Source organism: Homo sapiens, chromosome 18 (assembly GCF_000001405.40).
Source record: "Homo sapiens chromosome 18, GRCh38.p14 Primary Assembly".
In the NCBI taxonomy this organism is placed as follows: Eukaryota; Metazoa; Chordata; class Mammalia; order Primates; family Hominidae; genus Homo; species Homo sapiens.
In genome coordinates this window covers 28,036,890-28,063,354 of record NC_000018.10, presented here as the reverse complement: position 1 = coordinate 28,063,354, position 26,465 = coordinate 28,036,890, and the positions used below count along the sequence as shown (strand labels likewise).

General features: G+C 36.8%; 1 protein-coding gene across 3 annotated transcripts in view; it reads left to right on the top strand.

The window, feature by feature from the left end:
• The window catches only part of CDH2 (cadherin 2), a 244,252-nt gene that overhangs the window by 113,776 nt on the left and 104,011 nt on the right, over positions 1-26,465 (top strand). The gene's annotated exons all lie outside the window — the stretch shown is intronic.

Here is a 26,465-nt window from a genome sequence, read left to right as displayed (position 1 = left end):
TTCCTGCATTGTTGGTTGTTGACTCCTCTACCCACTTTGTTTTGTTTTTAAACACCAATTGGTGAATATGTTCCAGTAGTAATGTGAAATGTTCAGTAAAATGGTTAAGCTTCAAGATACAAGAAAAGCAGTATAAGCATTTCTTTTGTCCCATAATAATTTTTTTTCCCAAATAGTTTTTAATGCAACAAATAGGATTTTACAAAGCTATATACTTTTATTATAAAAAAATCACCATAACAAAGACTTATGAGGACATACAGTGCTACTTATATCTAATGTTTAAGTAGCTACGTTTAAATTACTGCTTTTTAAAAATGCTATTATAACATAGTTTTAACAGTTTGGGAGCATATTAGGCTTTTATGAAATGTGTGTTTCTGAGACAGAGTCATGATCTGTCACCCAGGCTGGAGTGCAGTGGCGTGATCTCGGCTCTCTGCAACCTCCTCCTCCCAGGTGCAAGCAATTCTCCTGCCTCAGCCTCCGGAGTAGCTGGGACTCCAAGCATGTGCCACCACTCCCAGCTAATTTTTGTAGTTTTGGTAGAGAAGGGGTTTCACCATGTTGGCAGGCTGGTCTCAAACTCCTGACCTCAAGTCATCCGCTCGCCTTGGACTTCTAAAGTGCTGGGATTACAGGCATGAGCCACCACGCCTAGCCTGGACGGTGTATTTCTCAACTGGTGATAGTTCATTCCATTTTTCTTAATGTTGCATCATTAAAATTTGGAAAGTTTTAATATATGCAGTTGCCTGATTTTATGTTAGTGTGGTGAATATTTGCATCATGAACTCAGTTGCACAGCATGGATTACTTGACTCACAGAATAAGGGCTGTTATAAAAATAGTTTTATTGTTTTAAAAACACTTGGAAATAACAGTTTTCATCTATAGTATGCTATAAAAATAATGAAGACAGGACAGGCAAAACTCTATTATTGACTCCAGCTGAATATATTGGATTATAAATTCTACTTAATTAGTTGAAGAAGTTATATGTTTTCTGTTGGAAAATTGACAGATTGTTTCATTTATTGGACAAATTAATAAATATTTACCAGTAGTCTTTCCTATTGCATTATATTCTCTTTCTTTTGAAATAATTTTAGCCACTTTTCAATTTTTAAAAAGAGATAAATGGCTAGAAAAATATTAAATACCTCAAAAATTTATTGCAAAAAATAAGGCTGTTCATTGTATCTGTTTGTAAAACTTAAAGACTGGAGCAAACCAAATGATTTTGAACCAGGAATTGCTTGAATAGATTATGGTATATGTGGTACATCCATCTAAGGAAGTACTATGTGGCTGTCAAAAGGAATGAGGGCTGTGTACAAATTGCTGTGGAGAGATCTCTAGGTGATACGGTTTGGCCGTGTCCCTGCCCAAATCTCATCTTGAATTGTAGTTCCCATAACCCCCATGTGTCATGGGAGGGACCAGGTGGGAGGTAATTGAATCATGGGGCAGGTTTTTCCCTTGATATTCTCATGATAGTAAGTCTCATGAGATCTGATGGTTTTATAAAGGGGAGTTCCCCTGCACATGCTATCTTGCCTGCCGCCATGTAAGACATTCCTTCGCCTTCTGCCATGATTGTGAGTCCTCCCCAGCCATGTTGAACTGTGAGTCAATTAAACCTCTTCCCTTTAGACATTATCCAATTTTGAGTATGTTTTTATTAGCAGTGTGAGAACAGACTCATGTGCTAGGATAAAGTATTTGTTTGCTTTTGGGTTTTTTGAGACGGAGTCGTGCTCTGTGTCCCAGACTGGAGTGCAGTGGCACAATCTTGGCTCACTGCAACCACTCCCAAGTAGCTGAGGTTATAGGCACATGCCACCACGCTCGGCTGATTTTTGTATTTCTTTAGTAAAGATGGGGTTTCATCGTGTTGGCTAGGCTGGTCTCAAACTCCTGACCTCAAGTTGTCTATCTGTCTCGGCCTCCCAAAGTGCTTGATTTCAGGCATGAGCCACCATGCCCAGCCTAGGATAAAGTTTTAAGTGAAAACAGCACAGAAGAGGGAAGTACACTTAATAAACAATGCTTCCTGTTTGTGGAAAGGAGGGTGTTTTGTGGACTTGACTGTGGAAATGTGTACAAATTTTGCTTTAAGTTTAAAACAAAACCAAGATAATGAAGACAACTAGTAAAAGTACAATATATAAGTCCCAATGTAAATCATGTTGCTGGTATACATGGCCACACTGAGAAGAACCATTTTAAATGATGTTATGTCACAGAAATTTTAACTATATAGTACAACCTTAGTGGGATATACATTGAAGTTCAAAAAAAGGCAAAAGAAAGTTTAACTTGTCTCACAGTCATTTTTAGTGTTAGTGCTAGTTTTGGAAGAAACACAGAGGTGTAAGATTGGTATGATTAAGTAAAAAAATGAATTTGCATGAGAAGTAGCAAAATGATTTATTTTTTTAAAATGCTGATTTTGTTGATTTATCCTTTGGAAATGCCCGAAAACAATGAGTATCCAATAGCAGTGAATACCCTGAGGGTCCATACTGAGGTTCACCAGAAGGAGCCAGGGTTCTTTAAAGAAATGGCTGGTTCCATGTCCAAGGCAGGAAGTATATGAGATGACCTGGAATATCATGTTATCTTACAAGATTACTAGTCTTACCAAATGGTCTCCCAAAACTAAGCCAACTTAGTTACTAACAAGGTTACTAATTGAAGATGAGGAACAAAACCTATCCCATTTTGTTTATGGTTTTGAAAAAGATAAAGAGAAAGAATCAAGTGCTTGTTTTGCTTTTTCTAGAATGACTGTACTTTAGGGTAACTATATTAGATAGGCAGGTTCTTCTGTAAAGAAATACTGCAGTTAATAAGTAAAGAAGGGGCTAGGCGCAGTGGCTCATGCCTGTAATCTCAGGACTTTGGGAGGCTGAGCCAGGCAGATCATTTGAGTTCAGGAGCTCGAGACCAGCCTGACCAACATGGTGAAACCTCGTCTCTACTAAAAATATGAAAAATTAGCTGGGTATGGTAGCACGCGCCTGTAGTCCCAGCTACACGGAAGCTGAGGCAGGAGAATTGCTTGAACCTGGGAGGCAGAGAGTGCAGTGAACCGAGATTGTGCCACTACACTCCAGATTGGGCAAAAGAGTGAGACTCTGTCTCAAAAATAATAATAATGATGATGATAAGTAAAGGAGGAATTATAGAAATTTGCATCTCTTATTGAAATAGTGGATCTAAGTGATGATCATCAGTGACTAAAAGGAAGACTATCTGTTATGCGTTGTTATGTACTCCTGATAGGAACTTGTTTGCCAAAAAAAAAACCAGGGTCTGATCAAACTTCTAGATGTGCCAGCTTCTAAGTAATACAGAGTGCAGAGGATCATATTACATGAAATTAGAGAATTTGAATCTGCAAAATCTAGATCGCAGGGGAAAATGTAGGACAAATGATCCAGTTTCTTCCACAAAAAAGTTTGAAAGGAAAAAGAGGATGAAGAATACATAGATTAAAGAAGAGACCTATCAACCAATCTCATTGGAATCTGATTCAAACAAATGTGTATGTGTGTGTTCAGATATATAATATACATACATTTACACATATATGAAACATACATAAATATGCTTGCATATCTGCATACCTATGTGTATGTGTCAAAAGATAAAATCACAACAAATTTTATTCAAAGATCTTAACTGGCTTTTATTCACAATTCTAGAGTTGGGCAGCCCTCAGAACCAGAACAGGTTCGGAGAACTCTGGGGCTGCAACTTGGTCAGACAGTATTTATGGATAGAAAATGGAAGTTAGTTATAGAGTTTAATTGGTTATAATCTTATTTGAATTAGTTGGCTGCCTATGATTAACTAAAGCTCAGGGGCTGTTAACTATCTGAAACCCAGCTACTTGTCTCATGAGTATACTCCTAAGTTAATTAGTTTCCTTTAGCATGAATGACTCCATATTAGTTTGGTCTGTTGGACTAAGTACAGGAGCCTAGTCCAAATCAATGGTATTTCCCCCTTTTTGGTCAGGCTGTCACTTAGGTGAGAGTATGACCACAACTTAGGTCATCAGTGCTACTCTCAATTCTTATCATTTTACATTTCCAGTCTTAACCTGTTATTCATAAGTTACAGTGTCATCATGTTCATGCATTTCCTTGGGTTTTTGTCATTCCAACCAAAGAGACCATTTGGTGTTTGATGGTTGGTTATAGGCAAACATTTAAAACTTTTGAGAAAGTACAGCATACCCAGGGAGATTGCCATTATGACTCTCAGGAGGATAATACCAAGAGTTTGGAGTTAGTGCCTTAGCAAGGGCCCCCATAAATCAAACCAACTAAAATCAAACCAACTAAAATCAAATAGATAAGCTACATGAGGAGTTCACCTGTTTTAACCAAATAGCCTGTTTCTTTTAATTGTTTTGTAACCAAGTGTCTACAATACTTAAGATATTTATGCACAACAAAAAATACTAGCAACTGCACAGACTCCTACTTAGCCAATAAGCAATCTAGCGTTCCATGACTGGGCCAAATCAAAGCAGGAAGTGAAAATAAGTGGGTCTAGAAGTCCAAATCTATAAAACAGAACACTAAGAAAATTTAAATAAACAGTCGGATTAGGGATGTTGCTAATATTAACACTAAGTATACTAAGGAATCTCTGAGATCATAACAGATCCGACATTTCATACTGGTTATAAAGTTCTAAGTTCCAAGTGAAAAAAGTAGGCATAAACAAGGAAAAATTAAGAGGGATAAAAGTCACATTTTGATGAAGAGTTTTGTTCTGATTTCTTAGAAAACACCATCCAGGCTAAAATGTCATCTGTTCCTAGGGAAACTTTTCCCTAATCAGCTTTACCTTAAAGTCTTCAATAGGTATACAGTTGCGTGAGCCTGGAGGGGCCATTTTAACCTTGAACCAAGGCAAGGTCCTAAGCTTTACTGCAATATACGGGGAGAAGAACTCTATGGTCCCTCCCACTGGGATTCAAGAGCAGTCTCTCTCTCTGTCTCTCTCTGTCATGTCTTGTCCAAAAGATCCAGTCTTTGGGTTCCAGATCACCAAAGGTCAGATTGTCATCAATGGATTATGAAAGGCTTGTTTTAGCTATAAAAATATGCCTTGGTATCAAAGTTTATAAGAATGGGTGATACATGAGGTTTTACTGTTATTGTATTGGCTTTCCTGCATGTACTGCTTTGATCCAACCAGAGAACACTGTTACAAGAACATATTTACATCCCATTGAAATGGTAACTGAATGAAATACATGTGTAAATGGTCCATCAGATAGCAGAATTATATGACTTGAAGTTTTGATTATCTTCCCAAGATGATGGGTTTGAAAAACCAAACAGGGGTCACAAACCACCTTAGCAATTCTAGAACAATCACCAAACCAATATTTTTTCCATGACTTGTATTATTTTTTCTACTCCATGATGAGTGATGAAGTATAGAACTTTTAATAATGGAAACTTTAAGAACTCAAGACCAGGCAACTGTTCAGGTTCTTCATGAGCCTACACTTAATACTGGATTTATATCCTCTTAAATACCAACTTCGATTGTCCAATTCAGGTGCATTCGACTGCTTACTATTAATAAATAAGTTATCATAGGTAATTTGACCTTGATCAATCTAACAGTTTATTCAAATTTCTTTTTTTTTTTTTTGAGACAGAGTCTTGCCCTGTCACCCAGGCTGCAGTGCGGCAGCATGATCTTGGCTCACTGCAACTGCCGCCTCCCGGGTTCAAGCAATTCTCCTGCCTCGACTACCCAGTAGCTGGGATTACAGGTGCACACCACCATGCCCAGCTGATTTTTGTATTGCTTTAGTAGAGACAGGATTTCACCACATTGACCAGGCTGGTCTCAAACTTCTGACCCTGAGTGATCCGCCCACCTCAGCCTCCTGAAGTGTTGGGATTACAGGCGTGAGCCACCTTGCCTGGCCTCAAATTTCATTTCTTAGCAATTTCAGTACTTTTAGCATGAAATTTCAGTAATTTTAGCATGAAAGTCTGCCAAAGCATTTCCTTGGTATTTAAATAATTCTTGTTCTGCTTGATGTTCATTTAGCAGTTTTATAAAACAAATCAGTTTCTTCATTAGATTTCTGAGAATTCTTACCCAGTCCAATGATAGGTTCTTAAAATTATCAGAAACTTGTACTTGTCAGAGTTCTTTCCATGAACCTCCTTGAAGATGAAATATTTATACTTGCTCAGGAATGTACCAGAGTACATAACCATCTGTGAATGACAAGACTTCAAATGGTCCTGGTTAAAGATCTGATTAGAGCTCCTTAAAATAATGATGCCGTTGACAAGGAAATTTGGTTATTTCTGTGTCATACAATAATTCAACACAATAACCAAAATTATGGCTAACATCGGATTTCTAAGAATTTTATACAGTTTCTGGAACATACCAATAACATATCCATGCAAATATAATTCAAGGTTTAGAATCACTTTTATTTGACAGTGCTTCCCATATAACTTAATATATCAAATAACCTTAATTAGTTGAGTATATCTCTTTTACAAGAGGAGAGACACATTTTTGGAGGGTTTCAGGGACTCAATAGGAAAATTCCAGAGTTAATTCTAAGGCAAAAAGTCTTAATTTAGAATTTCCTTTTGGGAAGTTTGTTAGAATTTCCTTTTGGGAAGTTTGATCAAAGGTTTAAAACACTTGATCAAAATGGGATCACAGGTCACTGTGAAATAATAGTCGTTTATTTAGCCAGAGTGATCATTAAAGACTTCAAAGACAAATAAAGAAAGTTACATAATTGTAGGAAAAGTCTTATTTTTAATAGAGAGGACCCAGTTTTCTTACATAATCAAAGACCTAAGAAAGACAAAATGAAGCGCAAGGATTCATCGTGATAAAACATAGAATCTTTGTTTCCTAGGCCAATTACCTAAAAGATAAAAGCCTTTTACCATTTCCTGTTAAGAGCAAATAAATACTTCAAGAAAACCTATTTGTTTTGACAGAAAGGACCAAGTTCTAGTTTTGCATCAGTGTAGTTTTGATAGTAAAGTTCAATTTTTAGAAAGCCTTACAAATAATTCCATTCTAATTTTAGCCAGCTTGGTCATACCTAAAATTCCCTTCACAAAATCCATGTTCTACAAATCCTCCACAACCTTCTAATATCCTTTTCATCATTGGCCTTATACTTCTTTCTCATTTTGAAACAACCAGTCCTTTTAGGACAAAAATTACTCTTTTTCTCTTAAAAAAAAAAAAATCTTTTATACCTCATAGCTTCACTTACCAAAAACGTGTTTACTTTCCCCGAATATGGAGTCATTTGCCCTACTATTTCCAGTTTCAGTTACCATATAGTCATTAGAATATTTAACTCTTAGTAATCTTAATTTCTACTAAAAACCTAGGAAGTAAAGTAAAGCAGTTTTGAACTTTCTGTCATATAGTAACACTTTCTGTATACACATTTCAGAGTTTCTAACAACATATGGGGCTTCCCCATAGAAAAATATTTTTTCAACTAATAGACCCAAATATAATATATGTAGCTTCTTTGCACCATACAAAAACAGGATGCCGAAGTATATATATAGCAGTTAGTTTCAGTGTTTAAACATACTTAAAATTACTCAGACATTTCATAAATACTAATTAACATAGATTTAAATGTTTAAATTACTTTTTAAAGCCAATTAAAGCTCTTTATAAATTTTAGAAAAATATCACGCATATATAACATACAGACATATATAGATATACACAGCCATACAGACAGAAACGTATCCTAGAAATATCATTAAGATTTTTCATTTGCCAGTCTCCAAATAACTCTTCTTCACCCTTTACACTATCACTCTTTCAATTACCTGTTTCATTGCCCTAAGCAGTTGTTAGCTAGGTTGCTCACTGTAGTCAAATTTCAAGCCTAAATACCATTATTTTCTGAGACAAAGGCATAATAAGCCTAGTGATATGGATTGGCTGTGTCCCCACCCAAATCTCATCTTGAATTGTAGCTCCCATAATTCCCGCATGTTGTGGGAGGGACCTGGTGGGAGATAATTGAATTATGGAGGCAGTTTCCCCACACTGTTCTCATGGTGGTTAGTAAGTCTCGTGAGATCTGATGGTTTTGTAAGGGGAAACCCCTTTTGCTTGGCTCTCATTCTTGTCTGCCCCCATTTAAGACATGTCTTTTGCCTTTCACCATGATTTTGAGGCCTCCTCAGCCAAGTGGAACTGTGAGTCCAGTAAATAAAATGGTCCTAAGTGAGGCATGTTATATAAATTTAAGCGTTTGGCTTCTCCATTGTAAAAGTTTCTAGTGACTTAGCTCTCTCTGTCTTCTCAGTATAGAGAGGGAGACACACTTACAAATTGAGATTTCTTTATAGATATAAATTTTTCTTACAGAAGGGTCTTGAAATAACCAGCTGAAAATAATCCTTATGCCATAAATGCATTTTCTTCACCAAGAAAAAATTTAGGAGTATAGCAAAGATTATGACAAGAAAGAAATGGCAACAAAGGTTTGAGAGGAGGGATTTCAGTCAGCTGAAAGTTTCCCATTTTACAGGATCAAACAGGAAAAAACAAACAGAGTGCTAATTTGATGATTATTATCCTGGAAGTAAAGTCTTTCGGGGCTTCCATTAGTAGGGAAACAGTCCAGGTCATAGAGAATACATTCATCAAGTGGCTGGTGTAAAAGTGGACAATATCCTTTCTAATGGCCTGGCTGTTTACAATAAAGGCAGACATCTTGGGCACAGAGTTTTTTAGTTTGGAACATCATGGTTTTGGTTTAAAATGTGTGCAAGGAAGTTCTTTTGATTTCTGTAAGTGTTGTAGCTGTCAAGACATGCCCGTTTGCCTTTGGTAAGGAGGCAGTTTTTGATTTGTTTAATCTTTTAGCCTCTGTGTTCCAAACAAAAATGCATGTCATTGTTCCTGTGGGGTTCTGATCTTTTCTTTCCTAAGGAGCCCTACAAGTGAACAATTTTATCTAGGTTAGAACTTCACTGTGGCCAGTCTAACTATTTTTGGTAAGGTTTACCCATTTTGCTTAAAAATAAAAAAGGCACAGCTTCTGAGTCCATGGTTCTTATGCATGAAATTGGCTGGAGTTCTAGACTCCTTGGATCCAGATGATCCCAGGATTCCTTGTATTCTAGTAACCTTACCTACCTATGGAAGCCAGTCCACTTTTAATCTGACTCAGACACCTGACTCCTCCCTACAGGATCCAGTCCTGTTTTTGTCAAGACTTTCAAAGTTTGTGTGCTCTCTCACAGCACAGACTCACCCTTGGTACCTGACCCCAGGTTATGCAGCCTCCCATGGCACAAACTAACCCTGGATTCAGAAACCTAAAAGGTTAGGGGCTCGATGCAAAAAGAGCAGAGTCCAACCCAAGAGGAACTTAAAATTCTCGGGAGCCCGTAAGAAAGATAGAGGACTTCAAAAAAGATTCAGTGGTACCTCTCCTGCATTCCTCAAGGGATGTTTGGATTCACCATCAATGTCCTTCCAGTGCCACACTGGGCACCAATAGTCTTAAAAGACAAAAGACCAATAGTCTTAAAAAACAAATTTAGTATAAAGATGTTAATTCGTTTATATTTATGAATCTTGAAACGGGCAGCCCTCAGAACCAGAACGAACTCTGGGGCTGCAGCCTGTTCAGACAGTATTTACAGAAAGAAAACAGAAGTGAGGTATAGGACTTAATTGGTTATTTGAATCAGTTGGCTGCTTCCAGTGACTAGCTAAAGCTCAGCTGCTGTAACTAACCAAAACTCAGCGAGTTGTTACATGAGTGTACTCCTAAGTTCATTACTTTCATTTAGCATGAATAACCCCATCTTGGTTTGGTCTGTTGGGCCCTACAAATTTTATTTAACATGTGACAGGTAAATTACTCACTGGATGTTTGATAATCTTAATGAATTATAGTTATCTTCTTAAGCATAATAGGTTTTATAATCTTTAAAAGATATCTTTAAAAATGTCTAATACTTATTAAAAAATTAAGGTTTTACTAACTTGCCTGGTTATCTAAGAAGTCAGTGAATAATTTGCAGAGTTTGACGATTTTCAAACTCTACAATTACATGGTGGAATGGCTTGCTTGAGCTGACATAACACAATACCACAGGCTGCATGGCTTAAACAACAGAAATTTATTTCTCATAGTTCTAAAGGCTGGAAGTCTGAGATCAAGGTGCCAGCAGGTTTAGTTTCTTTGAAGGCTTCTTCTCCCCGATAGCCTTCTAGCTGTGTCCTCACATGGTCCTCCCTCTGTGCACATGCATGTCTGTGTCCAAAATTCGTCTTTTTATATGGACACCAGGCATATTGGATTAGGACCCCCCCATACGACCTCATTTTACCTTAATTACCTCTTTAAATGACTTATCTCCAAATATAGTCAGATTCTAAGGTACTGAGGAGTTAAGATTTTAATGCATGAATTTTAAGGGGACACATTCAGCCCATTACCCACAGAATATAATTTTCTAGTGATTTGAAGAGGGAGAGATTAATTTTTAAACTGTATAAAACAAGGCATCTTGTTTCAATGAACTGTTTCGTGATATTGAGCAGGTAGGCACACCTGAGAATGTCTGGCCACTTCGTCATGGCCTACATTTTCACTTCCAGTCCTTCGGTGGTTTGTATTTTGTTCCAATACTGTTTTCCTTTTAATTTTCCCCAATATTGATACTTGTGATGCACGTACCCATGTAACACTGAAGTTAAAGTACTATTTAATGATTTTCAAATACTTCTTTGCCGTCTTTGAAATTTCTCTCTCCCTTTCCAAACAAATACACATAAGACCTTATAGAGAGGTGAACCATAAAATATAGTAGCTTTTCATTTCAGAGTTTTCTTCTGTATACTCTTCAATGACAAAGGACACTGAGAAGTTAAAATTTATTTTTTCATTTGCTGTTACTACGGCTTAAATATAAACTAAAATTCAAGTAATAATTCCTTTTTCTTCATCTATTTAATTATAAGTTTGATACAGATATTGATACCATGTCTTCTTTCAGTTATACTTCCCTTACACAAATTACTTCCCATGTGGAATAAGTTGAAAATTGAAATTATGACTCTTCTAATTATTTTTCATTTCTTAATTTTTTGGAGGAAATGTACTCTAGAGCTGGGAAATACAAAGAATTGTCTTTGTAAAATATACAAGCTTGCTTTAACTTCATATATCGGATATCTCATAACAGTTATTCATTACGTTTGGGCTATAATGACATCGTTGTTGTTTTACAAAAGTGTCTGCATTTGTAGAGATGCATACAAATGGGATCTGGTATTTGCTGTAAAGTACTTATGCAACTGCAATAAAATGGATATATAAAACATGCGTGGCAGAATTCTGATAGCTATCCAACCTGGATGATTGGTATGAGTTTTTTGTACTTTTCTCTCTTTTTGTGTATTTTGCAATCATTCCCAGTAAAAATTAGTGCTATGACATAATTATCATTATTACGTAGTGATTTCGTAGTAAAAGATATAACAGTACACTTTAGCACATTCAGGAGTTTGATTCATGTAGTTTCCCTATAGATTTAGAGGCATTCTTAGCTGTCCTTATAGGATGTAGGTTGGAAAACTACTCATAAACACTCCAGGGCAAGACAGTTCTATAGTTGGTAAGAGACATATTTTGAGTAAGGTTAATTTACAGAAAAGGTTCTATTATCTTTAATAAAAATGTTTGACATTTAATATCTTAATTTTAAAAAGTTCAGCACTCCTGATAGAAATAAGAATGATTCTGACAAGGAGTCTGTCATCTTACATGGAAATCACTTTCTCTTACCTTATACACTGCATTTCCCAGGACAAGCAGACATTTTTAGTTGCAAGTCTAGTATTACAGACTGTAGAGATAACACCATCCTATTAATTATGCAGGGATTAGTTTGAAATCTATTTAGTATTTTCCCAAGGTCATTGTTACTTCTAATCATTGTATCTATTTTGTGGTATTACACTATCTTCAGGTTTTGAATGATTTTTGCCTAGTATCATGTTAGCTATACTTTAGTTTTCACTACTATAAAATAGAGAAATCCCGACTACCCTGAGGTACTAGGAAATATATCTGATAAAAGTGTAACAGAAATATTAACAATAATATAATACCTGGAAGGATTTAATCTCTTCATCAGTATCTTCTAAAAGCTACCTCAAGGAAAATGTTCATAGTTACCTATTTTTTACAATATGCATATGGATTAGAATTGAGAAGGAAAAATTGTTTGAGAGAATTAAATATTTTCTTTTCAGTTGGTAACATGGATTAGTTAGGAATATGCCTGGTTAAGGAAATACATATTTTTAAAAATAAAAGTCTGATTTTTCCTTTGTATAGTCCTTATCAAGACTGAATTATCTTAATGATCATGGATTAAAAGAAATAAGCTTTTTAAAAAGAATCTTCTTGAGCTAAAACTTATGACTATCTTAGGAATTTTCTAGGCTGTACTTCTCCTGTGCAAGAAGAGAGCTTTCAGGCATCCCCAGAGGCCTCTCCTTGTCAAGTGGACCATCTGGGGGTGGGAATGGGAGAGCTATTTCAGTGCTAGATGAGTCCCTGCAGAGCAACAAAAGTGAAAAAGGCATTATATCTCCTCTATGCAGCCTGCTGGTTTCCCCTTTAAACATTTTTAAATAGAAAAAAATCTTACTCTGAAATATGGTAAGTATTAAAGAAGCACCTTCTTGAAACCTAGAACTGCAGCCCATTAGCTGTGGGATCTGATAAACTGCCTAAACTCTGTGAGTCTTAATTTCCTCATCAGGAAAGGAGGATAATATTTACATTACAGGAATTTTTTTTAAGAATGAAATGAATAGAAAGTGACTGCTCTAGTGCCTGAGACATAGTATTTATTAAATGGCAGCAGCTACTTATGTGGGTGTAGAAGAGTCAGAAGGGGGTAAAACTAAAAGAAGGTCCAATTGTATAATACTAAGGCTTATAACTATATGCTATCAGCAATACTGCAATGTCTGTATTTTAATTTTACCCTATACCATTTAATTAAAAATGGGCTCTATTTGTGATGATGTGTTGTTGATATTGTTCTCAGTTAGCATTTGCCACAGTGATGCTGCATAACAAACCACCTCGGAACTCAGTGGCTTAAAACGACAATCACTCTTCTTGCTCCTGCATTTGTGAGCCAAGTGGGGCTCAGCTTATCCAGGCTGGGCTTAGATCCACGCTGCAGATTTGGTCTAGATCTGCTCCACATGCCTTCATCCTTAATTTGGTGGGTAGGCAGAACATGTTCTTTTGCATGGTGGTAGCATACTCCAAGAAGGCAGGCACATTTCAAGCATTTACTGATGTTATATCCACCAACATCCCAGTGGCCAAAGCAAGACATCTCACCACACTAAACATCAATGAAATGGGAAAGTATATTCTGCCAATAGTGGCAGTAAGAGGGTAGTGACTATTTGCTATGCAGTAATCTAAACTATTTAAATGATTATCATCATAATAATTATTAGTTGCATACGGGTTAAATTGCACCAAACATTTCTAACAGCAGTGACTAGGTCTGCAGGATGTGGCTGAGATTGTTGTTGTGGAGGTTGGTTGTCTTTTGACATGTAATGTGCATGTGGCCTTGCCATAGATACTATTCAGTGGTGAGTTAATCCATTTGCTTTGTTTCCTTATGATCAATATGCCGTTCATGATGTACAAATACATATAAGAATTATAAAGCACATTGTTGCTTCTCTGGTATCATTAATAATCTAGTCTAGCCGAGGATGTTTTCCACCCGTGTTATCAATCTGCTTTATTCGGTCTAAATTTCCTTTTAGTACTACCACAGTGTATATTTGTCCTGTTCATTTCGTCTCTGTGTGAAAGTTTCCTCTCTCGCAGAAGGTAGTGTTTCAGGAGCGTGTTTAGCATTGTAACACATGAATTGGAAATAGCCATATCGCAACCATCGGCAGTTATTTTGGCGCACATAGTACATGCCCATAGCACGTTTCTGTGTAGTCATCACAGAGGAAGCTTTTGAAATGCACTCACCTTTGCTGGTTGGATTTGCCATTTGCCACTTGTAAGTGCTTATTTTTTTAAACTTTTTCTTTTACCTCCACATGACCCCAAGCAAATCAATCAGAAGCCCTCTGCTTGAAAAGTTTTCCAATAGATGTCGTGACACCGCCAGAATCTTTAAAAAATAAAATCACTGTGTATTCCTCCAAATGTACAATAACTGGGAGTATCAGTTAGGTTCACGGAATGAAATAGAGCCTAAAGAGGAGTTTGTGGCTGCTCTAGGTTCATGCTGGAGTGCAGCAAATAGACCCACAAGGTTTGTCCTCCTGCTTGCATGCAGATGGTATTATCAGTTTTCTTTTCTTTTCTTTTTTCATGCAGAAGTGGGTGGAGAGGGCTGTTTCAGCTGCCATTGATGAAAATCAAACTCCCAATGTCTGATGGCAGGCTGCTATTTCACGCTCTGCTGTTTCTGTTTCAACAGAAATTTTGTTTGTTGTTTTTGCTGGCAGTGTTTGCCTGTTCTGAAGTAAAGGCACTGCTGCATTTAGTTACGGGATCAGCATTCTTTGTTTACATTCAAATTTGTGTCATGGTTATGGTGCTTCAGATTTATTGAAAAGAAACACCTTCATGAAAGCTGGGGAATAGCATTTTGAATAGCATTGTAGTCCTGACGAAATGCCAAAACTTTAATGCCAGTCTCTCCGTGCCCACTTTGTATGCTTTGGGAGCATTTGACCCATATCAAAAACGTATCGAATACAGTTATTCTTTATAACAACCAGAATCATTATTTATCGCCCTTGTGAGGTACATTTTTGCAGAGTTGTTTCTGTATACACATTTAATATAGTAAGATCTCTGCCTATAATTTCAAATGAAAAGCAGATAGTTGAAGCAAAACTGTAATGGAAAAGTTTACTGTAGCTCCCCTCCCTTTTAATATTTAGCATTAAACACTAAATGGAGGTAAAAACATACCACAATTCAAACTTACCAATAAACCTAGAACTTATCTTGAAACCTAGAACTGCAGCCCATTAGCTGTGGGATCTGATAAATTGCTTAACCTCTGTGAGGCTTAATTTCCTCATCAGGAAAGGAGGATAATATTTATATTACAGGAATTGTTTTAAGAATCGAATAGAAAGTGACTGCTCTAGTGCCTGAGACATTGTATTTATTAAATGGCAGCAGATCCCTGCTAATAAGATCTCTGCCCATAATTTCAAATGAAAAGCAGATAGATAAAGCAAAACTGTAATGAAGAAGTTTACTGTAGCTCCCCTCCCTTTTAATATTTAGCATTAAATATTAAAACATTAAATAGAGGCAAAAACATATCACAATTCAAACTTACCAAGGTTTCATTCTTTTTTTTTTTTTTTTTTTTTTTTGAGATGGAGTCTCCCTCTGTTGTTCAGGCTGGAGTGCAGTGGCCCGATCTCGGCTCACTGCAAGCTCCGCCTTCCGGGTTCACGCCATTCTCCTGCCTCAGCCTCCCGAGTAGCTGGGACTACAGGCACCCGCCACCACGCCCGGCTAATTTTTTTTTATGTTTAGTAGAGAAGGGGTTTCACCGTGTTAGCCAGGATGGTCTCGATCTCCTGACCTCGTGATCCACCCACCTCGGCCTCCCAAAGTGCCGGGATTACAGGCGTGAGCCACCGCGCCCGGCCAGTTTCATTCTTTATATGGAAGCAATCTCTTTATGTCAGTCTCAAATCTTACGAGATCAGAACTTGAAAGATCAAATGAACACTCTGCTTTTTCCTGTTCTGATACCTACTGAAGTGAAATCTAGCACAGCTTTATAGGGCAGGTTGCTTCCTTTGTTTTAAAAGGATAAAATCGTTAAGTATGGCCGTCTGTTGGCTGAGTGCTTGACAGGCGAAACATAACCTCTGTCCTTAAGATATCTTCAGATGTAAAATGAAGAGTATTTTGATATTTTTTCTTGCTTAGCCTTGAATATTGAGGGCCAAGACTATGATAGATATCTAATTTTAATCAGTATCTCATTTCTTTTTGGCTTCTAGCAAGCTTCTAGGTATTTAAATCTCTTGGTGCTTTTTTGTAACTTAGTTGCTTCTCTACAGCTAAAAATCTGCTTCCTATGGAAGTGACGGTAATTTGTTTGTGAACTGCCTGGAGCCTGGCAGATTACAAAGCTGTAGAAGATCTGAAGTGTAAAGGAATCCCTCTAGGAATCACATCAAATACATCCATTTGGTTTTCAGCACATTCCAGTAATGTATAATTCTTGAAATTCATAGAATCTCTATTTTCCAACTCTCCACTAGATTTCACAAAGGTAATATTGCATACCTGCCTTAAGGCTGCTTTAGAGGAAGAAATTTACTTCCAGTTAATCAGTCATGGCTTCTGTCACTTTTATCCATTACTCCAATTGAACATCAGTGAAATCTGAAAAGCAAAATTATGTTTTTGCTCAGAGCAAAGTTCATTAGAAAGTCCCCCACATTTTTTAAAGGACTATTTATAAAAGTTAAAATAAGTAGCACATCTAAATGTCTATAAAATGGTCACTGATTCCATTTACTTATTTAATTGACTAGGCTAAATCTTGACAACTTACATAGATTTTATTCAGGTCTGTGACAAAATTTCATAGAAGACTTGTTACACAGGATGCATTCTATAAATTTGCAGAGCATTTTTCTCAGCACTGAGTCTTGTAACTTAATTTGATTCAGTAATATATGATTTTTCTCTAAATTATGACTTTTGTTTATATTCTTTCCCACCCAAAGCATCACTTTATGCCAAAAAATTCTTACTTTTTGGGTTTCTGACCACATCTTTGCATTTATTCTCAAGTTTTTATTATAGCATAACTATCAACATTTTTAAAGAAATAATTCTCTGTTTTAATGAGCTTGTTAAAATATTCTTCCAATATATTCTTATCCTCCAGATTTTTTCTAAAAGTTTAGTTACCTACTAAGGAAGTTATGTGTAAATGTATTGAAGTGCCTACATTTCCTAATAATAAAGGAGAAGATCACAAAGTACTAGATAACAATAGCTTTTTTTCTGGTGCTGCTCTGTAATGCACCGTATTTAAATTATTTAGACTGTGAAGCCTTTCTGTTTCTCAAATTGTCATTTAAGGGTCAAACGCCATCTTATAGAAAGGAATGCTTGACTCAGCCCCCTTTGGAATGATGCATCAGCTTTATCACATACTTGACTACCTTAAATAAGGCATCCTGCACAACTCTGATGGAGTGTTTTCTTAATGAGCAGAAATCATAAAGATGAACAGTTACTGTATTCAGTATCATTGTCGGTCCAGTGATAGTCACTGAGCTGAATGTCTACAGACTCCAGAAAATAACCTGAACTTTACTGTTAATTATTCAGTTCTCTCAGTTGTCTTTTTCTGCTTTCTACCTTTATTCATTCAGCAGGCAGATCTCAAGAGCCTGTTTTGTGCCGGGCTCTGAGCTGAGCACCAGAGCTTCTAAAGGAAGCTTCGGTTTGGGAAAATATGTAAACAGGCATGTGAAATTCAGCTTTGAGTGCTGTGATGGAAGCATTTAAAGAGTACAGTTGAAGCACACATGTGGGGGAGGGCTTTGTCTGCTGGGACGTCATAAAGGAAATGACCCTTAAAAGATGAGTAGCCACTGGCCCAGGTGCTTAAGTAAGAGTGTTCCACTCAGATAGGCTAGCATGAGCAAGGCAGAAGCCTGAAACAGTTGGATGTGTTCCAGAAACTGTAAGCAATTGAATACAATGGAAATGAAGTTCATTTACAAGACCATGATGAGAGAATTGACTTTTAGGCTGTGGCCACATTGTTGAAGGACATGTGTAACACTCAAAGGAGTAGGTCTTTCTTTTCTAATCAATGGAGAGCTATTTATAAGTTTAAACCTGATAAGCTTTGGGTTTTACAAAGACTTATTCATCAGCTGTTGGGAGGGTAAATTTGGTGAGTACAACAAGGACAAACTAGCTCAGTTAGGAAGCTATTACTAGAGGCCTCATAAGAGGTTTAGAGAATCTATGTGCCTGGGAGAAGTGGAGAGGATATAACCTTTATCCTTAGAGGTAAAGTCTAGAGGGCTTGAAGACCAGTTGGATGAGGAAGAACTATAAGATTATCATACTTAACGGCTGAGGTACTGGTAGATGGTGAGCGGTGTAGGAGAACCCAGGCTCAGAGGAATGTGGGTGTTAATTTTTCTTTTTGAATTTGGAATTTGAGGTCTATCTACCTGAAAATTTCATGTAGCTACTTAGATCTATTGCTCTGAATAGCAAGAAAGTTCTGGGATAGAGATAATGAATTTAAGTCATAATGAAATATAATGAATCTCATTTATAGAAAACATTCTATGTGCCAGGACCTGTTTACACACACACACACACACACACACACACACGATGTTATATATTATCTTTTTAAAATCTTCAGTATAATTCTAGGAACAAGATATTATCTTCATTTTTTTTTTGACAAGTAACTAAGGCTTAGAGAAGTTGAAAACATGTGCAAGCTTCCACATCTAATAATTAGCAGGCCCATCATTGAACCATTGAACCCAAACATACTGTTAAAATAATGTTCACTGTGTTTTCCATTATTATTTTTAATAGTGTTTTAGAATGGGAAGCAAGGCATGTATGCACTTCGCATGTCATTGAGTAGATAGGCCTGGATTTGAAAGCCTATAGAAGTGTCATAACAGAGAATATTGGAATATTTATAGTCTTAATTTTATCTTATTGACAGTAGGAAGCATTGAAAGTTTTTAGCAAGATGAATAGAAAAGGGGAATGGATCAGTGGGAGGGGGTGTGATAGTATTCTTTTGGATGGAAGTAACAGAACCCAGTTTAAGCAAAAGGAATTGTTTACTGGAAGAATATACCAGGAAAACCTTGGAGAAACAATGTAAGGGGTTAACAGGCAAAATGTGAACAGTTTCTAGAATTCCACCTCCAGGGTACAGCCAGCAAATTAGCGCAGCTGCCAACTGGTTCTTGTCTTTATTTACCTCTGTTCAAATGTCCAAGAGGCTAGCAGGGCGTGGTGGCCCATGCCTGTAATCCTGACACTCTGGGAGGCTGAGGCGGGTGGATCACTTGAGATCAGGAGTTAAAGACCAGCCTGGCCAACATGGTGAAAACCTATCTCTACTAAAAATATAAAAATCAGCTGGGCGTGGTGGCAGGTGCCTGTAATCCCAGCTACTCAGGAGGCTGAGGCAGGAGAATCGCTTGAACCCGGGAGGCAGAGGTTGCAGTGAGCTGAGATCATGCCACTGCACTGTAGCCTGAGTGACAGAGCAAGAGAAGTACTCTGTCTCCAAAAAAAAAAAAAAAAAAAAAAAAAAAAAAAAATCCGAGATTCTGAGAAAGATGAGACTGAGATGAGTGGCCCAGCCTGAGGATGGCCACTCACAGCTAAAGCAGTCTGCTGTGATCATTCACTTGTAACACAACATCTCCAGCTCCTTTAGGTCTTTTGTTCAACTCTTGACCTTAGAAAATCATTTTCTTCTTTCTTTACTTGTTAACTCAGAATGAGACTTTTCAAAGAGGATGATAATAAGAATAGTGCTGGTGGGGAATTTATTTCAAGAGGAAAAACCATAAAGTTTGGAGTGAAATTAGATGTAATGGAAGAAAACTCAGTGCCATCAGCCACTAGGGGTCTAGTTTAAGTGTCCTTAAAGCTCATAAGTCCCCATCAACTACTTCAAATCAAACCTGTTTATATATATATATATATATATTTATATATATATATATATATATATATATATATATTTATTTATATCAGTAATTTTTAGGGTACAGGTGGTTTTTGGTTATATGGATAAGTTCTTTAGTAGTGATTTCTGAGATTTTGGTGTACCTGTCACCCAAGCAGTGTACACTGTACCCAGTGTGTAACCTTTTATCCTTCACCCGCCTCCCACCCTTCCCCGTGAGTCCCCAAAGTCCATTATATTAATATTATTCTTATGCCTTTGTATCCTCATAGCTTAGCTCCCGCTTATAAGTGAGAACATATGATATTTGGTTTTCTATTCCTGAGTTACCTCACTTAGAATAATGGCCTCCAGCTCCATCCAAGTTGCTGCAAAGGCCATTATTTTGTTCCGTTTTATGACTGAGTAGTATTCCATGGTGTATATATATATCACAGCCAACAAATAGTTGATTTCTTTTTAACTATATGCTGATGATAATTCTTGCTTTAATATTGGCAACAACTGACTGGCAGTGCCAGAAACAGAAGCAAATCTCTTCTTGACTGATTGAATACAAATAAAATTTGCAAATAGTTTTTATTATGATCCATATCTTCGATTTTCAAATATCAACATTATGTTTCCTTAGTAGGAAGGAGCTTTGTTATTCCTTCCATCCCTGTATGAGGCCTAGTTTCCAGCTAGAAGCATTTACTCTGATTTTTATTATTCTTTTTCTTTGCTGGAAAAGACGAGATCCTAAATTTATAGACTTCAAACAGAAGGAATGCTAACATTGTACTTTTAAATCCTTAATTTCCTGTAGTAACTTGTTCTTATCGATGCAAATCTTGCTTTAATTTTTCATAAACTTGTGTGTGTGTATATTTTTATGGTTTCTCTTTTGTTCACTGCAGTATCCCTAGGGCCCCTAACAGTGCCTGGAACATAATAGGTACCCAGTAAGTGCTTGTTGAATGAATGAATAATTTTATAAGGTATGTTAAAGTGAGACAACTTGTCTCCTTGTTTTCAACATGAAAATTAGAACAGAATTTATCAAACTTCAAGATTTGTAAATATTTTGGGAGTATAATACCAAGACCATCACTGTATATACACCAGCCATAATACCATTCTGTAAAGAGTGGATTTAAACATCAGACAGATCACCTTAAATGTCATCTGAGTCAGATTGATAACGCAATTACCAAAGAACTTTTAAACTGGAATGCTACTAAAGTAATAAAACGTTATTTCCCTAATTCCAATGCTATCTTATTGGGTATTTTAAAAGTAGAAAAACTTGTCTATGAATAAGCAAAATAAATGGTTCTAGTTATATAATAATACTAACAATTTTAAGTTTCTTACATTTATATTAAAATTAAGACTAGAATGTACTAGTAAAATAGAAAAAATACATAGTGTAAATGAAAAGTGCTTATTAGCAGTTCGGCATTTCAGATGTACCAATTACAACTTTCATACTTGCTGTTTTTATGGTGATGATTACCCTCTTAATATATGACTGTTTCTCAGTGGTGTCTACAGTGGGCATAGTAAAAATTAAGGACTGCTATTTAAGGGGCTGGGCATTAATTTGTTTCTTTAATAAATAAATTATATTTAAATGAAATCAGGGTAAAATTCTTAGGTAATTGGAATTATTTATTGTAATGGTATACTTTTACATGTTTATGTTATTGTAGACTGTAAAGTTGTTTATAAGGTACAAGAAAATATTGATACTGTAGGAATGTTGAATAGTGGCAGCACTTAGGTAGAACATAAGTCCTCTAAGAATTCAGGAATAGGTATAAAAACAATGTTGAGGCAGGCCCATACTGCCTGCACTGCTTCTTAATTCTGTTAAGAATGATTCGTCTGAAAGAAGGAAGGAATCACTAGGCTAATTCTACCCTAATCTCTTTGAGTCTGCTAACAGTGTTGCGTGCACTGCTGTGGCATTTTTTCCTGTTGTCATGGACACTTATCCGTTAAAAACACAGTTGCCTGCTGACTGTTCATCTTTGCACATTGCCTGGTGAGGCTTGAGTGTGATTTCGGGCTTTGATTAAAGTAGAAAGTATTCAGTAGAAATCCATTCTTTTTATTTTATATAAAATGCCGTATGTGATTACAATGAGAAAATAATTGAATTCTGTTTGTTTTGTGCTTGTTTTCAGCAAAGCCAAAAACATTTATGTAGCCCTGGTCCCCATGTATACCTTATTTCTAAGTAAAATGTTTTTCACTTCAGAAAACCAGTTTTGTAAACATGCCAATTAAAAGTGATTGTTTGAAGAATGTATCAAATGATAAAGATTTCATTATTTTCTAAATTTATAATCTAGTGCTGCTCCTAAGGAAAATACATTTTTTTCATAAAGTTACTAATTCATGGTTTATGTTTTTCTCTCAATGTATACTCATTGTGGACCCCTCCCCAGTAACTGAAAGCCAGTGTGATTTTTTGAAGAACCATACCAGGATTTGGAATCACAGAGTGATGTTCAAACATTCTTAGTTCCACCACTGTGTCATCCTGGGTCTGGTACTTTATCTCCTTATGACTCAGGAATTTTTTTATTTCTAAAGTAACATCTACCTTTTAGAGTTCTTAGGATAAAATGAGATTATCTGTGGAGTGTGTCTGGCATAAACATCCAGTCAGTGAATCAAAGATCTTTCCATGTGAGAATAATAAACTAGAATACTTGGTATTTGTTGTGCTCTCACTACACTGTGAGTCTCCAGTAAGCTGGGATGGGAGTCACCCATTTGGTATTCTGTGTATAATATTTTTGTTGCACTTAGTAGGGCAATATTTGCTATATAAGGGTTTGTAGAATTCTACATTGAAGCTTGGCTGGAATGTGTTTTTTCAGCATCTACTTTATATTGTTTGCTCTGCTCTCTGCATCTGTTATTTTTCCAGCAGTTGCCATTTTTGCTGCCTGTGGTTAATTTTGCTCTGAACATTTCTGTTAACAGGAGGTAAACCTAAAGGTTTTTGTGTTGACTGCAGATTGTTGGAACATAATTTTTATCAGGATGCTGACCTAAGAAAATTAACATTGTCTGTTCATGGAATTTTACCTACTTGGAAGTGACTTAATTACTTTGCTGATGTGATGGAACTCGCTCCACTGGCATACAGTTTTTGGAGTACTGCCATGTCAGGAATTATAATTGGCCTTCTGCTTATATGAAGGCAGTTTTGCATCATTTAACGTGCTTCATAGCTATAAGTTAGGAGTACTATTACTATCTTGATCATACAAGAATTCTGGGGTGGTTCTCTTTAATAAGAGTAGTATTTTGGCTGTAAAGTGAGTGGTTAGGACCCCAGCATGCCACACACTTGTTTGGATTCGCTCTGAGGCCCTGTGCACAAATGCTCAATCAACTTTCAGTAAGTGTCATTGCCTCTAACTAAACAAATAGTTATTCATTCGTCAGTAGCACCATTTTAAGATACGATCATAATACAAACTATTTGCAAATTTTATTTGTGTTCAGTTAGTCAAAATGAGATGTGCTTCTGATTTTGGCATTGCCGGTCAGTTGTTGCCAATATTAAAGCATGCATTGTCATCAGCATATAGTTAAAAGGAAATAACTGTTGGTTGGTTATGTAATACTCTCTTTTTCTTGAGCCATAAATGTTGACCAACCTTTGCTTTCTTGTGTTTATACTAATCACTGTAAAATATCAAGATCTGTTTTATAAACCACACAGAACTCCAAATTGTGTGGAATTGCCTAACCCTACAACTTTTAAAATTGGAGGAAAAGTATCCTTACAAATTAGTGGTAAGGAGAATTTGACAAAAAAAACACACGATACAGACTGTGAAATCCTGACTTGGCACTGATAGAGCAGAAAATAGGTAATTATAACAACCCATAAAGTAAGTGTGAGCTAGAAACCTATCATTATTTATAGTTCATTTGGTCCCTAATAATGGCAGTTTATTCTGTCTGACAGTTGTGGGACCTAGGGGCAAGTTGCTTAATCTCCCTGAGCCATAATTAATTCATTTATAAAATGGAAATGTGAGTTGCTGCCTACTCAGCCTGGAGTTCCAAGGATCAGATATGATCCTGTATGCGAAATCAGTGAAATATCAATACCAGTCTCCCAAGTCCAAGAGAAGACTGGAACTAGCATGGAAGGAATGCAGCCAGCCAATCAGAGTTCCTGTGTAGCACCCTGCCCTGACCTCAAACACAGGACGTCCTGTGAGTCATGTATCCTTGCCCTTCCCTATGCCGCGCAATCCTGAGACGTCAGAAATGTGGATTCATGCAAGGAGCTAAGCAGTAGGTTATGGACTTGCTAGCTTCCAATAGCTGTGGAAAGGAGAGAAATGAAGGGACTTTGCATGACATTAGACCCAGTCAGGTGGCAGGGCATTAAACAAGGAACTAAGAGTATGAAGGAAGACACATAAAGTTCACTATCCTGTGTACAATCCCAGAGATGAGATGTGGATCCTTCAATTATCATTAATACATTCAAAGATTTTTAAGTCCACAAGAAATTGCCAAATCTTCACAGGAGTTCCAGAAGCTGTAAAGTATTTTGCATTCAGTAGGTACTCAAATGTTGTTGTGATGACAGTAATTTGCACCAGCAGTCGTGCTCTTAAAAAATTTAGTTTTGTGAGTTTTACGTTTGAAAAAGGTGGTAGCAAATTAGAATGTGGTGCAGAGGAAACACACAAATTATCAAAGATCCATGAGTAAAGAAACTAATAAATTCAATAAGGAGAAAACACGAAACAAGGCTGACATCAGTACATTTTGTAAAATACCTTTTTGAAGAGATGTCTGCATACAAGATGGCTATCAGATGTTTTCTGTCAATAAGACAAGTAAACAAGATAATCTATGACTTTCTACCTGAGAGATTTCACTTGATTCCTGGGACTTCAACTGCACAAAAAATGCATGCATTGGTTCCTATAATTGAACTGGGGAAGCTCCTGCAGAGTAAGGCCTTTGGGGTAGTTTATGAGTCCTTTATAGCACTCAGAACAGGCACATTTCATACACACACATAGACACACACACACACACACACACACACACACACACACACACTTGAGACAAGGTCTCACTGTCACCCAGGCTGGAGTGCAGTGATGCAATCACAGCTCACTGTAGCCTCCACCTCCCAGGCTAAAGGAATCCTCCCACTTCAGCCTCCTGAGTAGCTGGGAATACAGGTGTGCGCCACCATGCCTGGCTAATTTTTGTATTTTTGGTAGATACGGAGTTTTGCCATATTGCCCAGGCTGGTCTCGAACTCCTGGGCTCAAGTAATTGCCTGCTTTGGCCTCCCAAATTGCTGGGACTATAGGTCTGAGCCACTGCACCCAGCCCTCATATATATTTTTAATGCTAAATTAAATCAGCAGTTCTGAAAAACAGTCTTTCATAAAACTGTTTCCTCCTTGAGGTTTAACCTGTTTCTATTCTTTTCCCAAGTCAACAAGATTCAAAACATTGGCATCCTTTTTTGACTCCTTACTTCCCTTCAATTACCGTTTTCTATGCCCACATACTATTAGCTACCCATTCCTGTGGATTCTTTCTTCATCATCTTTTTTTATATGTTTCTTCTTTTGAGATTCCTGTTCCCATTACTCTGGCTAGATCTCTAGTTCATGTTCAAACAATAACCTCTTGAGAGCTTTGCTAGCCTTTAGGTTTTCATTTGTAATTTCAGCCTGTATATTTAAGTTGAGTCGTTTGTCCCAAAACATTACTTCCCCCTCTCAAAAATGTTTGACACTTGTCTACCAAGTTTTTGTAAGTTTGCCCATATCCAATTTACAGATTTTTTTTCTTGTATGAATTCCTTATTTTAAGCAGTGGTTAGCTTTGCTTTCCCTTGGAGGTGTCATTGCCTCCTTTCTTCTGCTCTGGGTTATTTCTGCAACTTACTGGAACTCGCTTCTTCCCAGTCTCACCTCTCAGAATCCTAAGGTTCAGCATTGTCTCAAAGTATTTCTGTAAGTTTTCTCGCTGCTTCCCACAATATTCTTATGCTGTATCAAACACCTTAGCATATGGTGTGAACTAGAAAGTTGATTGTTAAAAGGGGGATGTTTAAAAACAAGACATCTGACAATCCATTGTTAAAAGTAGCTCTGCCTTCATGCTGGCAACCTATCTGAATCCTCAGAAAGTTTCATGGTGTGTAAAAATCTGGGAGAAGAAGCACTCTTTGGGAATCTTGTATCTACCCATTAGCAAAATTATGTATAGGCATGGTTTGCACTTAGAGCATCTTTCATTTTACATAAAATGCATTTCTTTATTTATGAGATTTTGTATTTTAACAAGTACTCCCAGATAACACTTTTTTTGACATTTAATCTTGGATTCATACCCAATTTAGGATATGAAACCAACTCCTTACAAATCTTAATTATGTTGTAAGCACTTTGAGTGCTACTGAGTATGCAAAGCATATATATTATTGACTTTTCACCCAAGTTCCTTCTTTAGAGAAAGCTGGGACAGCTATAGATGTTTTTACTGAACAGATTGCTAAATGACAAGTGATGGATTGTTACTAGCTGAAAACACTAGATAGAAAATGCATCTAAGACAACCAAAAGGGAAAGA